We start from the raw sequence: 14,872 nt of genomic DNA on the forward strand, positions 1-14,872 counted from the left end.
CTACCACTGCTTCTCTCCCAGATGACTTGCAATGGCCTAATAATTAGACTCCTGGTGACCATTTTAACCCACTCCCTTCTGTAAAGGAGACCATGCAGAAGTAGAGTAATTTTTCTTTGAAAACTCAATTCTGATCATACATCTCCTGACCTCCATGGCAATTAGCAGTGTGGGACACTCAGTATTCCTGCCCCACAAAACTGTCCACCTTCTTCAAATGCTCTGCTTTTTGTTCACTTGGTGTAGCCATCAAGTCTTCCTTCAGTTTCCTGAACATGCTGTGTTGTCTTGCAGAAACATAGGTGTCCCTATTTATCACTTAACTACTGGGCATCTTTACATCTTAAAGGTGACTTTCCTGATAGGACTTTTCTGAACTCCCTTTGTTTACTCCCTATCGGATCCTGTATTTTCCCACTTGGTAGGAATTGTAATTATTTGTTTAATGCCAGTTCTGTTAAGAAAGGATCATTTCTATCCCCAGAAATTAGAACCAGGTCAGGCATGTAGCAGTAGCTCAATACATCTGTGAAATGAATGAAAGAATAAATAAATAAATAAAATAAATAAATAAAGGAAATGAGAAATATTGCTTGAGTTTTGGAAAAGACAGTGGAGCATCCTGCACTTAAATATAAGGCCACCTGTATATCTATATATCTCTTCAGTTGAATGAATGCCAAAATAAGAATTTCCATTTTAGGGCAAAAAAATTACTGCAAGTCAGTAAGGTCTAGTGGAATGAGTTTGTCTAGTTGTCAGGAGACCTGGGTCCCATTGGCAAGAACTAGCTGTGATCTTGGTTAAGTCACAAAACTTTTTTTAATGCTTGGTACCTGAAATTTAAAATGGAAATAAAATAGTTATCACCTTAGAATTTGAAATAAACTTACAGTTATAACAGTACTTTATTTATTTATTTATTTAGACAGAGCCTCACTCTGTTGCCCTCGCTCTTGTTTCAGGGATTGGTAATCACCATCCTCCCACTTGTCAATCATCTGGGTTGTCACCCTTGACCATTCCCTCTCTTTCTCTTGCAGCCAAACACCACTGTTGTTGGCTTTGCCTTCTAGACAGCTCTGCCATACATCCACTTGTTTTTGTTCCCACTGCCACAATCTTACTCCATGCTACCACTGCTTCTCTCCCAGATGACTTGCAATGGCCTAATAATTAGACTCCTAATAATTAGACTCCTGGCTGGAGTGCAGTGGCACAATCTTGGCTCACTGCAACCTCTGCCTTCTGGGTTCAAGAAATTCTTCCTGCCTCAGCCTCCCGTGTAGCTGGAATTACAGGCTACCACCACCACGCCCAGCTAATTTCTGTATTTTTAGTAAAGACAGGGTTTCTCCATGTTGGCCAGGCTGGTCTCGAACTCCTGACCTCAGGTGATCCGTCCGCCTCGGCCTCCCAGAGTGCTGGGATTACAGGCCTGAGCCACTGTGCCCGGGCTGCTTCCCAATTTTCAAGACTCATCTGATGTCCCTCACTTCATCTTGTACTTTGCCAGATTACTCTGGGAGTTCACACTGAGCTTCCTTTTGGTGATATTTTAAGGCACTTAAAATTCACCAAATTCTTCATCTAACTGATATATTTTGAGAACTAATTGTTCCTGTGCTAGTCTTACTTCTTCAAATAGATTCTAAGTTCCCTAAAGTATGGAAATCTGGTTTATCATATTTCCATATGCCCTCAGTATCTGACACATGTTGAGTTCAGAGTAGGTGCACAAGAATTGAGGGGAGAAGTCTGGAAGGGATGGACATTTAGGAAGATGGAGGATCTGTAAAACCCTCTTGTCCATTTTTCACCAGTTGTCCTTGTTTTCACCAGTTTTTATTTCATCAAATATCCCCCCTAGATTTAAAACTCTCTGTTTAGCTCTTTTAAATCCAATAAAACACTAAACAGAGGATAAATTTAGCTCCTGGTAGAGGGTCTGCAAATGCAGATGTAGAGCATGTGGGAAGATTTCCAGGAGCTTTAGCAGAAAGTACCATATATTGGGCATTAGCTTTGGAGGCTGATTATAAAAGTCATTTTCTGTTTGTGATTTTGTAATCTTACTCTCAGGTGAGCTGTGGTCATTGCTGACAGGCAGGTCCATGCACAACAACCGTATCATGGTGCCTTTTTTCATCAATCATGAATATTTTTGTGGGGGGGGGCTTTTTTTTTAAAGAAATCAATTGAAAGAAAAGGTAAAATAGGATGATCTGTGCTAGTTTGAGAAACAGATTAAAGAATACTAGAATACTTTCAAAAATTTATTCAAAGAGATTCTAAGAAGAAGACAAAAAGGTTTCTCTTTTCTTGTTGTAAAGATTCTAAACTCCTTTGGGAGGCTGAGGCGGGTGGATTACCTGAGGTCAGGAGTTTGAGACCAGCCTGACCAACATGGTGAAACCCCGTCTCTACTAAAATACAAAAAAATTAGGTGGGCATGGTGGTGGGTGCCTGTAATCTCAGCTACTTGGGAGGCTGAGGCAGGAGAATCACTTGAACCCAGGAGGCGGAGGTTGCAATGAGCTGTGATCGCGCCATTGCACCCCAGCCTGGGCAACAAGAGAGAAGCTCTGTCTCAAAAAACCAAACCAAACCAAACAAACAAACAAACAAAAATATTCTAAACTCACCAAGGCATTATCTTGAGGGCTGCTCTCATAAGACAGAAGGATGCCCCTGGACACCTGTGAAGTGTATGGGTGTGTGTGTGTGTGAATGTGTTTGTGTTGAAAGTGTTTTGGGGGAACAGGGCCTAGAATGGGGAAGCCTGGGAATAGTAGAATCCAACTACCATGGCCGTTTGTTATTTCACTGTTGAGAAACCTTCTACCTGTAATAAGATGGTTATTAAAATTTTAATCAGAACTTTTCTGTGCACCTGAGGGCCAGGTCACCGAGTTTGCAGCTCAAGTATGTAATTCCCATATAAAGGACTTTAATTAAAAATAATAATGATAGTGTTATTTTCAATTTCTGAAATCTTGATCGTGTTTTCATTTGTCTGATCTCATTTTGATTTTCATTCTCTTAACAAGCCCATGAAGCAAGTAGGCAAGAATTACTACCTTCAGGAACCGCAATCCATTCTATTTGTGAAAATTTTCCCTTGGTGATCCATTTCATAGTGTATCACAAATTCCATCTCCTCTTTTCTATACCTGTCTAGAAATATCAATACATGTAAACTACACATCTTTTAAATAACACTGTGTTATATGTGAAAGCGTAATTAACATAAAAGAATATATTTTACATACATCAAGCATAGCTAGAGGTCTCTCTTGGCAGACTGAGAGGCAAATGATGTGCTCTGGGGTTGCCTGTCATTCATCTGTGAAACCCAAAGGGCCTTCTTGAGATCTGACCCAAGGTGATGTTTTGTCCCTGTCCACATAAAAAGATGCTAAAATTGCTGTTGCTAAAGACGAAAAGAGTAATCTCACATAGGGCACCTAATTATATCAATATGATGACTGTGGACTGTATATGGACACTGAGAATTCCTAGGGAGCCCACATATACAAACCCACTCATCACCACCCAGGAGACGTCAGGGTGTGGTCTGCTTTAAGGAGCAGTCTTCCTGTTATAGTAGCCTACTCTGAATGTGCCCCCTTGGGTTCTCTCCCAAATACGCTGAACATCTAGTCATGGATACATCTCCCCTGCCCTTGGACACCATGTGCTCAGCTTTCTGGATGCAGGAAGTAAGCCATCTCTGAGTACCTGCTGCGTCTCTGGCACTACCAATTAGGGTTCTGTGTGCTTGTGCTGTGATGGAAGAGGGATGTAGAAGCTACGGGTAGGGCCTGTGTCAGTGGCTGTTCAGTCACCTTCTGTTGATTCCTGATGCCTGAGCAACAGTCCCTTGTTGGCGCATCTAGAGGTCTAGGAGTCCTTCATGAGTTTGCTTTAACTCCAAACCCTTCCTTCTTATCCTTTTCCTGGGCTGTACAGAGACTCGTTACCATTTTATCCTCTACAGTCCTTTCTGTTTACTTAGTTCTACAACTGCCTCATCTCACTGTGTTCTTGTAGTATAACTGTGGGGCTCTTCCCCTTTTAGTTAAGAAAGAAGCAAGACCTGGAGAGAATAACATGCTCAATTATGGAGCCAGGACTTTACATAGGTCTGTCTAAGGCCAAAATGGATGCTTTTAACCATAGTCCCCAAAGATTATTTCTCTTTCAAGAAGACTGCCTCTTATGTATGGCAAGGGGGAGAGAGTAATAGTATCTATTCCTTCTTCAGGGAGGAACATGGTGGAGAGACAGAACGTTATTATTTTTGTTTGTTTGTTTGGTTGGTTGGAAGGAATTCAAATATGTGTTTGTTCCAGAGAGTGGCCTGAGAACAGAGGCCTGCTGTCAACTAGAATACTGAGTGAGGAAGTCTGGAAAGACCTAATAATCCTTATCTTGGGCAGTTAGACATAAATTACAGGAACTGTAGGTTCTGCAATTCTCAACTTATGGATGGCTTGTTTTGCTTGTTGGTGGGCAGGGGAGAGTGCATTGAGTTGCAAAGTGAGTGGTAGAGTTAAAGTGTATTAATTTTAAGTCCATTCACATGTTGTCTAACTAGTGTCTATAAGATTAGCTGGAAGAACCCTAAGAAATCTAGTGTTTAAGTTTAAGGAGTGTCAACAAAATGGTCTTCAAGGAAAAGACACCAGACGAACCCAGGACTGTGCTCAGCTAGGACTCAGTTGTTCGTGCCTAGAGGGGTTAGGAGGCATCTTTTACTTCAGTTTCTATTTGCCTGAGTTTTAATTTTTTTCACTGAAATAAGTAGAAGGACAGGTTGGGGCTTCAGGAGTAGGATGACAGCTATATTTTTATGAGGTTTTGTTGAAATTAGCGTCTACATTTCAATAGCTCTACGTTCCCACCTGCTTGATGGCGGCACTAAAGGGAGCCCCTCAAAACCTCCTCTGCTATTCCAGGCATTCCAAGGTGGCCTTGCAGGACAGCAAGGAAGAAATTTGCTCCTGGACTATGATTTCAACCTCGCCTGCTGTCCATTGCCTGTCATGAAGAAGGCATCGTGATGAGGTATTGCTTTCACACCCTCTGAGAGAATAGGACTGCCACATACTACCATAAGCTTGATGGCTTAAAACAACAGAAATGCATTCTCTCATGGTTCTGGAAGTGAGAAGTCCTAAATCAAGGTGTCTGCAGGGCCACACTCCCTCTGAGGGCTCTAGGGGAGAATCTTTCCTTGCCCCCTCCAGCTTCTGATGGCTCCTGGTGTTTCTTGCTTGTGGTAGCATCACTCCAATCTCTGTCTTCATCTTCAGCATTGCTCTAATCTCTGTCTCCATCTTCCTATGGCCTTCTTCCTTCCTGTGTCTAGAATCTCTTTCTCCTTTCTCTTGTAAGGACACCAGTCATTGGATTTAGGGTGCAACTGAAATCCAGGATGATCTCATTCTAAGATCCTTAACTATATCTGTGAAGACCTACAAAAGACCTATTTTCATATGGTCACATTCATGTGTACTGGAGGTTAGCAATTGGATATATCTTTAAAAATTATTTATTTTTAATGTTTGTGTGTACATAGTATGTGTGTGTATATATATATATATATATATATATGGTATATGAGATATTTTGATACAGGTATGCAATGTGTAACAATCACATCCGAGTAAATAGGGTATCCATTGCCTCAAGCATTTGTCCTTTCTTTGTGTTACAGACAATCCAATTATACTTAGTTATTTTCAAATGTACAGTAAAATATTGTTGACTGTAGTTAGCCTGTGGTACTATCAAATACTAGATCTTATTCGTTCTATCTAATTATATTTTTATACCCATTAACCATCCCCACTCCTTACCCCAGCTACCCTTGCCAGTCTCTGGTAACCATCATTCTACTCTCTATCTCTATGAGATCAATTTAAAAAAAATTTTTAGCTCTCACAAATAAGTGAGAACATTCGAAGTTTGTCTTTCTACGCCTGGCTTATTTCATTTAACATAATGACCTCCAGTTCCATCTATGTTGTTATGAGTGATAGGATCTCATTTTTTTATGACTGAATAGTACTCCATTGGGTATATGCACCGCATTTTCTTTATTCATTTGTCTATTGATCAGCACTTACATTGCTTTGGATATATCTTTTGAGAAGACACCATTCATCCCATTGTAGGGACAAAGGCAACTGGAGAAAAGAGAAAGAAGAGAATAAATAAGGGTACGGAAGGAGTGGGGGCACTTGTGTCCTACTCCCTTTCTAGAGTATGGCAGAGCCAATTCTCAACCCTAGTAAGGGAGTAGGTTAAGTCAGAAGCCTAAGGACTTGCGAATCCAGCATGAACAGAGCAACTTCAGGGCTTAAGTGGAAAAGGTGACTGCGACCATGATCCTAGTATTATTGAGGCGGCCTGTGACCTTGGGGTGGCTACCAAATAGTACCCAAAGTTGTAGTGGAGAGATCCATGACCCCTATTCTCTCAGAGGATCTGAAAGCCATGGAGCAATATCTCATCAAGGTGCCTTCTGTGGTACAGGCAGTGGACAGCAGATGAGGTTGAAATCAAAGTCCAGGAGCAGATTTCCTCCTTGCTGTCCTGCAAAGCCACCCTGGAATGCCTGGAATAGCAGAGGAGGCTCTGAGGGGCTCCCTTCAGCACTGCCATCAAGCAGGTGGGAACTTAGAGCTATTGAAATTGAGACACTATTTTTAATAAAACCATATCCGTTCTCCTACACTGCAGAAGCCTGGGAGGATCTGCTTATAAAGGTACAAGAAAGATTAAAAGCACGTCCACATCATGTGTGCAGAAGCATGCGCTGAGTTGCTGCTGGTTGTGAGCTTGAAGCTCACAAAAATGAGGTTCCAATTTTGCCTCATTTGGAAAATCAGGAGGAAACAGCCTCTGAAGCCTGTGGTTAGAGTTGGGCTAAACATAATTGTCAGGAGCCCGGGAGAATGTGGATGGTGGTGGAATTTGAGGGATTGATTGGAGGAAGAGATAAAAAAATATTAAAAAGGAAAAAAAAAGAAAAATAGAAAATAATTTTAGAAATAACAATATTCCATGGTCTTTTCTAATGTGCTACTGAGCAAAAATTCCTGCTAACCAATACGCTAATGAATTGCCTGGGACATAGGGAGCACATTGCGAAGGTAACACTAGGGTCTGTGTTCCTTGGGCTGGTACCAACCAGGAAAAAATGAAGAAAGAGCCGCAGTGTCTGGCTAACCAGCTTGGTCTATGGGGGTCTTTCCTCAAGGGGAGTCTTTCCTCAAGGGCTGCCATGAATGGCCGAAGACTGAGGGAAAACCTTTCTGAACTGGGGACACATTCCCCCATAGGTGCTCAGTACTCTCCCTGAAGGCTGGCCTCCTCCAACCCCACCCTGTCTGCAACCTTGGGTGTATTCTTTATTCTTTTTTTCAAGCGGGAAAGAGACACAGAAACAATTGGCTTGTTAAGTTGAAAAAACAGGAAACACTGGTGTGGTGGGGTTCTCTCTCTCTCTGTCTTTCTCTCTCTCTTTTTTTAATGCTTTCACTTTTTAGAAGAGATAAGCAAAAGATCTGTGGGCCCAAAGAGAGGGTGCTAGTGGGGTTCAGAAAAATGCTTCCCCTTGGGGAGGAATGAAATTGGCTTGGTCCCTTCTCAACGACCTCCTGTCCATACCCGAGGCAAAAAAGTCAGCACACACCCATGGCTGATGTGGGGAGCCACAGGGCCCCTGTAGAGAGATTCTGGCTCAGGGTTACTGTCTCTGCTGCCCTCCTGTGGCAGCTGGGAATTCAGGAATTGCTTTTTAAATGATGGAGGATATTGTTAGGTTCAAGAAAATGTTTCTGGGAATAAATGAGCCCATTTACCGCAGGCCCTGCAGGGGCAGCAGAGAGCAGGCCGCAGGCAGGGCAGCCTGGGCAGCTCTGCGCCATGGCATCCCCTATTGCTCCTCCAGATGGTGGGAGCCTGGGCGCTCTTCAAAGAAAACAATGAAGAGCACAGAATAGGGGTCACTATAGCGGACTAGGGAAGTTTGGATAGACCCGTGACCACTCTGTCCAAACTTTGTAGCTCCCTCTGCTGTTTTCTGGAAGCTCTGAGAAGGCGGTGCCTACAGTTCACAACTCCAAAAGCACCCAACACATTGTTATCACAATAATTTATAGCCAGGATGCCTCTTCCACCTGAGAGTGAGCTGCCTGAGCCCTCAGGTTTATGTCTCCAGCCCCGAACACAATTCCAGGCACAAAGGAAGTTCTCAATAAATACTTGTGAAATGAAAAAATTGGCAGCCCATTTTAGGTTCTACAATATCTCTCCATCATTCATGATCAGAAGTTCTTTCAAATATCCAGAGTATGACATGGGTAAGTAGGATGGAAGGAATAAAAATGACCAACCCAGATAGGCTGAGAAAAAGTAGAGTCAGACCTGAGTATTTTAGTGCCCTTTCATAGCAAGGGAGCTGGGCAGAGGTTATCACATTCTGGCTCTTAATGTACTACCAAGCAAAGAAGACTTTAGTGGGGTAAATGGGGAGAGGTTACAGTAATAATAATTCATGTAATTGGTAAAATTCTTCCCATTTTACATAGGAAGCACATGATACATCCTTGCGATAAAGGGTCAGCCACAAAGCCACCAATCCCATCTTTCCTTATGGAGAGGAGCCCAAGATGCTGTCATGGTGAATGGAATGATATTGACCCATTATAGATTTTACCATATGAAGAGAGATCACAGGCAAAGATAATGAAAGACTCTTTTGCAAGAAGCCACAAGGCATCTGTTGGGTTCAATTCTCAGGTCACTCTATGCAGACTGACAGTCATGCTGAGGAGAGAATGGGAGTAGGCTGCTTAAAATGTTCTGTGTGTCCAGGATAACCTTTGCTTGGCGTCCTATCTTTGCCACATTATCCATTTAAAATTTTTATTTTATTATCAATATTTCTCCTATGAAAACACGTTTTTTGGTTCTTCATTATGCATAAAAAGATGTGGCTCTTAGGTTTTTTTTGTTTTTGTTTTTGTTTTTTTTTTTTTGAGACAGAGACTCACTCTGTCGCCCAGGCTGGAGTGCAGTGGCACCATCTCGGCTCACTGCAACCTCCACCTCCGGAGTTCAAGCAATTCTCCTTCCTCAGCCTCCCGAGTAGCTGGGATTACAGGCGTGTGCCACCACACCCAGCTAATTTTTGTAGTTTTAGTAGAAACGGGGTTTCACCATGTTGGCCAGGCTGGTCTCGATCTCCTGACCTTGTGATCCGCCCACCTCAGCCTCCCAAAGTGCTGGGATTGGCTCTAAGTTTGAAACTTTTCTTATTTCCCTTTCTTTCTCTGAAAAGATCCTACTGACACAGAAATATTCTCTGTCACACTTGTCATTTGTGGCTTCCCCCACCCCCTTGGCACATATCTGCCTCATTAGCTTCACATTTCTTTTGAGGACTCAGCTTGAGATGATCTTTTCCTTCCTCGCCTAGCACCAGTTCATTTTTCCCTGATGACTATTATTATTTGTTTAACCTAGAGTCATATTTTTGGGCACATTTTGCAAGGATGATGCTATAATGTATAAAAACATGTAATGCCATATTCAAAAGTCACAGATAAATAACTCTTTAGGTGATGGGTGAAACTGGAGATGCTTTTGACTTAATGTTCTCAGAGTAGAAAAATAAATGGGAATGTCATACCATGCATTTTTATTAAGCAAATGATGAAAGCAAAATGAAACATAATGTCCTTAATAGTATTTCCAACAACGCTGAAAAGCAGAAACTTGGGCATTTCCCAAGCTATTGATGTATCTTGCCTTTAGGCTCTGTTCATTAGTCATTTGTAATGCCTATTTATATAGATCTTTTATTTTATTTTGATTTGCAATTTAACAACCAGAGCCAGTGAAGATTCTGTTCTCTAGAACACCAGCTGGGTTTCCTTTCCACTAAAAGGGCATAGTGTTCTGGGAGATCAGGCATCTAGCATGAAAATGTTCTTTCTTTGTGGAAACTGTCTAAATTTGAAAGTAAATTTTTTAAAGTAGCAATTTGTTGTAGCAGGGACAATGGCTCATCATCACTTACTGAAGATTAGGAGTAGGAGAAATGTGAGGTGTTATTTTCTGAAGAGACTGGAAGAAGATAAACCTTCCCAAAGGTGCTCTGTCCCTTTCATGTTCAAGGAAAGAAGGCAATTTTGTTTAGTGGGTAAGAACCATAAAGAATCATAATGGTGGCTGGGCATGGTGGCTGACATCTGTAATCCCAGCACTTTGGGAGGCCGAGGTGGGTGGATCACCTGAAGTCGGGAGTTGGAGACCAGCTTGGCCAACATGGTGAAACCCTGTCTCTACTGAAAATACAAAAAATACACAAATGAGCTGGGCATGGTGATGCATGCCTGTAGTAGCTACTCGGGAGGTTGAGGCAGGAGAATGGCGTGAACCTGGGAGGCAGAGCTTGCAGTGAGCCGAGATCGTGCCACTGCACTCCAGCCTGGGCAACAGAGCGAGACTCTGTCTCAAAAAAAAGAATCATAATGGTGCCACTCTCAAGTCCTAGGTATGTCCCACACTGCCTCTGCGGGACTTTTTTAGCAATTATTTCTCACTTTCTGCTTCTCAATGAGGAAACGGAGAAGTGAAGAGACTGAGAACTACTTCTCTCTATAATTGGTAGGGCTGTCCTCTTCAGTGACAAGTCAACACTGACAATATTTTATGTGTGGCACAGAATTATGGAACCAGAGAATGAAATAATTAATATATAGCTCAAAGGCAGAATAACCCTTCAGTCATTCCAGGCAAAAACAACTGCATCTTACATTCAAAGACTGAGAAAAAATAAACTCCATAGTGGGGTGCCTGGGGAAGAAGAAATAACATTTTCAAATATATAGACAGAGAATTGCCTTTTTAGGGTGGAAGTTACCGGTAATTTAAGTTCCTGTAGAAAATAACCTACAATCTTTCGAAGCTGAATGTCTTCTTTAAAGGGGTCGTTTAAGCTCTGTAAATGGAAGACTAGTAGTTATCTATGATTCTTAGGAGGAAACCTTGACATTTCCATCTGTTGCCATCCAGATTCTGCTGTTTGCTCATGTAAATTGAGTATTTTTTATCTGGGCTATGTTGTAAAGGTGACTTTTAGAAGTTGTCTCCTCCTTCCATTAGCTTATTTTACTTATTGTCTCCCACATGGGACTATGAATGGTTGAACAGTCTACACTGTTTTTTTGGTTTTGTTTTTTGAGCAGCTCAAAAAATTAAGTTGTGGACTAAAAATAAAGAAAGCTATTCCACGAATGGTTGAATGTAGGGGCTGGGATTGAGCCATTTCCTATAAGGGAGTGAATACCCTGGGGGTTCCCGAGGCTTCCTTTTACGTCTTTTCTTGTTTTTCTGGAGAGTTAAGAGAGAAAACTATGTCCAGGCTTGAAGAATATTAGTGGGGAAGATTTGGTTCTGGGCTCAAGGTATGGTGATGCTAGAAGCTGGTATGACCAACCACCAGAGTAAAAAATATTGACTCGGAAGTGCACAGAGTCTGGGTAATACTGGAAGTATGTGGTGTGTGTGTGTGTATCTGTGTGTTTTTGGAGGGGAGAACTATGGGTCAAAATCAGCAGGCATTAATAGGGATTTGGGATACTGGCATTTCCTGACAAAATTAACCCCCAAAGACCTGCTGGATTAGGTCAGCCAATGTGAGTCCTCCTTGGAAATATTGGGGGAGGAGTAGCTTTCCAAATTTCATCGAATGGTAACTCAGGATCAAAACTCACTGATATCTGAGGCTGTGTCTATAACCAGATTACATGACTGTGCACACAGAAGAATAGGAATTCAACAAATTGTAGATGCTTTGGGCTATAGAAGAAAACTGTAATGAGACTGAAAATGATGGACTCTCACAATCTGTGGCCCTAAATCCCTGGCAGGTAGAGTGTATTTAGCAAAATACTTGAGGTGTGATAAGTTTTGTTTGCTTATTTTTTCTCAATTTATTTCATCTTTTAACTTCCACTGCCTGTAATTCAGTCAGATTATTGGCGCCTGGCTTATTGCCTAAGGGGAGAGACGAAGAGGTAAGTGTTTCAAAAGTGTAATGCCTTAGGTAATTCCAGAGGATTTGAGGCAAAGACAAAATGTTATGAGGATTATCAGTTAGCTTTTCTGTAGGACCAACTGCTCCCAAATGGAGTGCATAACACAAACATTATTTACCGTTGCCCGAGTTCTGCTGAACTGAGACAGCCTTAGTTGACTGTGTCTGAGCTAGCTCGTGGGTCTTCATTACAGTTCATGGCCTCCCTCCTATGCCTAGGGATTGTCTAGGAGTTGGCTGGGGCCATGAGGAAACGTGGTCCTGTGCCTCCATCATCCAGCGAGCTAACCTTGGCTTCTTCACATGGTGGCTGCAAGATTTCAAGAGTGGGCAGATGTGCAACGCTCCCTCAGGCCTGTATCCCAACAGGCACTGCATCAGTTCTGCCACTTTCTATTGACCAAAGAAAGTCTCAAGGGCACCCCAGATTCGAGTGGAGAAAAACCTTTCACTTTGATGGGAGGAGCTATGAAGACACATTGCAAATGGGCAGGAAAGGGTGAGGAATTGCAGCTATCTTTGCAATTTGTCACACATATCACGAAGGAATGGGGAACATGGACACTGACAGCAGGACGGTAGCCTTCTCTGTAGCCACTCACATGACAAAATATTGGCCTTACAGTTCCCATTCTGGGAAAATGAAGAACCCAGATGGTTAGTAATGATTGTAGTGATTAGAACAATGGTTTTGGGGCATAGTCCACAGTAGGAAAAATGCAAAACACTACATTGATTTGTGGGGCCAGAGAGAGAAGGGTGCCCTGATGAGGCAGAAGCTCCCAGAGAGAGAATGGCTGTAATGTAAGGCCAGACAAGTAGCCCACAGATAGATAACAGAAATTGCTAGTTACCAGCCAACCACAGCAAGCAATGGAATGAGTTCTGTGCCTTCAGGTATGGCAGGGAACCAGCAGAGAGCCTGAGTCATCAAGCCTAAATGAAGCTCTGTGGATAAGAGTGACAGCCATCTTGAAGCCTCTTGGATGGATTCACCGCTAGGGACACAGAGACTTCCCCTGCCCTTGTCACCCCAACACTTCAGCACCAAGTAAGTCACCCCACCAACATAAACATAGTAACAAGTATGGAAGGTAAGGGAGAAGAGATATCCTGAGGTTATATTTTTGAAATCCCAGGAGAATATAAGCTCAAAAAGAAAAAAAAGAAAACAAACAAAAAAAAAAACGAAGAAAAACCACACAAAACAAAACAAAAAACAACCAGCCAAGCATGGTGGTTCACTCCTGTAATCCCAGCACTTTGGGAAGCTGAGGAGGGTGGATCATCTGAGGTCAGGAATTCGAGACCAGCCTGGCCAACATGGTGAAAACCTGTCTCTGCTAAAGAAAAAAAAAAAAAAAAATTAGCTAGCATGGTGGTGCGCACCTGTAATCCCAGCTACTTAAGAGGCTGAGGTGGGAGAATCACTTGAACCTGGGAGGCAGAGGTTGCAGTGAGCCGAGTGTGCCACTGCACTACAGCCTGGGCAACAAAAGTGAAACTCTGTCTCAAAACAAACAAACAAACAACAAAAACAAAAACAACCAAAATAAGATGAAGTACAGAAAAATTTTTAAAGCGTGTGTATTCTTTTCAATGGTTGAATTTGGTGGTCGTGATTCAGCTCATTTCCTGTAGAGGAGGTAAGAGAACACGTATGCAACTTCCCAAGAGTTTTTAATGACTCTCTTATTTTTATTAAGATGTTAGGACAGGGCACTATGTGGAAAGCCCCTTATCTGGGGCTCTAGAGCAGGAGGAGTGAACAGCCTAATGTGACCAGGTTTCTTGGGCATAAGAATAGCTTCATGGCTCCAAGTCTGATCATTTGTGCATAGGTCAGTATATTGTGACCAATCTCCTTAAAGGCTGTTCATCCCGTGGTAGAAATAATAAAGTATCCAACACTGAGAGTGTTCTCGACATTGTTACTCCAGCCTTGGGAAGAGGTCTTCGATGCATGGCTGAGGCCAATTGCACCTGGGTGAAAGTGGCAGGTGCAAAATGAAAGTGAGGAGGGTTGTGACAAAGTGTCTCAGAGGTGCCATGTTTGAACCCGTTCACTCTCAAGGTGAACAATGCTTCGACACCGAGGCCAAGTGTTTACAGAATGTTGAACTACCGCTGGGAATGTTGGGAATTTCTTGCTATTTTTCACTGAGTGGGAGCCCAAGTGTCTGCGTTTGTGTTCAGGCTAAAGACATTGCTGTAGAACTCGGAGAAAATGGAGTGGGAGATCAAGGAAACTGATCAGCCTCTCCCAGAAAGTGAAAGCAGGGGATGTACTAAAAATGCTCTGATGGACCCTATGTTTCCTAGATTCTTCCAGTTACTGGTCTGGCAAAGGGAGGTGGTGGTTTGAATTAATGAGAAGGGGTTACTGGGATGAAAACAAGGTCTTTTATCCTTACTGTAACTATAGAGTTTGGTTAAGAAAAATAGAAGTCTTAACACAGCCCTGCAGGAATTAATGAAAGAGCCAGACCCTTGGGCAAAGGGGCAGAGTTGGAAAAAGGCTAAAAGAAGAATTCTTAGAGCTGAGGGGCCAATGAGCACATGTAGACACCTAGAAAAATCAACTTTAGTGTTTCATTCTGCAGTGGTGGATTATTTAACCTCTTTAAGTCTCATTTTCATTGACAATAAAACGGAAGTAAATGGTAGTACCAACTTCCCAGAATCTTGGTTTCATAAAGCCCTTAACAGTGTGCTAAGCACTCAGGAAATGTTATCTCTTGTTATTATTACTTG

General features: G+C 42.3%; 2 long non-coding RNA genes across 2 annotated transcripts; one reads left to right on the forward strand and one right to left on the reverse strand.

Moving 5' to 3' along the window:
• Positions 1 to 803: 803 nt before the first annotated feature.
• Positions 804 to 3,828, reverse strand: LOC105372770 (uncharacterized). Its single transcript, XR_007067840.1, has 4 exons — positions 3,742 to 3,828; positions 3,273 to 3,399; positions 3,081 to 3,177; positions 804 to 836 (listed from the first exon to the last, which is right to left on the reverse strand). It is a non-coding gene; the product is annotated as an uncharacterized LOC105372770 (long non-coding RNA).
• Positions 3,829 to 3,953: 125 nt separating this feature from the next.
• Positions 3,954 to 8,293, forward strand: BACH1-IT3 (BACH1 intronic transcript 3). The gene is made up of 2 exons (NR_146594.1): positions 3,954 to 4,145; positions 8,080 to 8,293. It is a non-coding gene; the product is annotated as a BACH1 intronic transcript 3 (long non-coding RNA).
• The last annotated feature ends 6,579 nt before the right edge of the window (positions 8,294 to 14,872 follow it).

The sequence above is a fragment of the Homo sapiens genome, chromosome 21 (genome assembly GCF_000001405.40).
Source record: "Homo sapiens chromosome 21, GRCh38.p14 Primary Assembly".
NCBI classification, from domain to species: domain Eukaryota; kingdom Metazoa; phylum Chordata; class Mammalia; order Primates; family Hominidae; genus Homo; species Homo sapiens.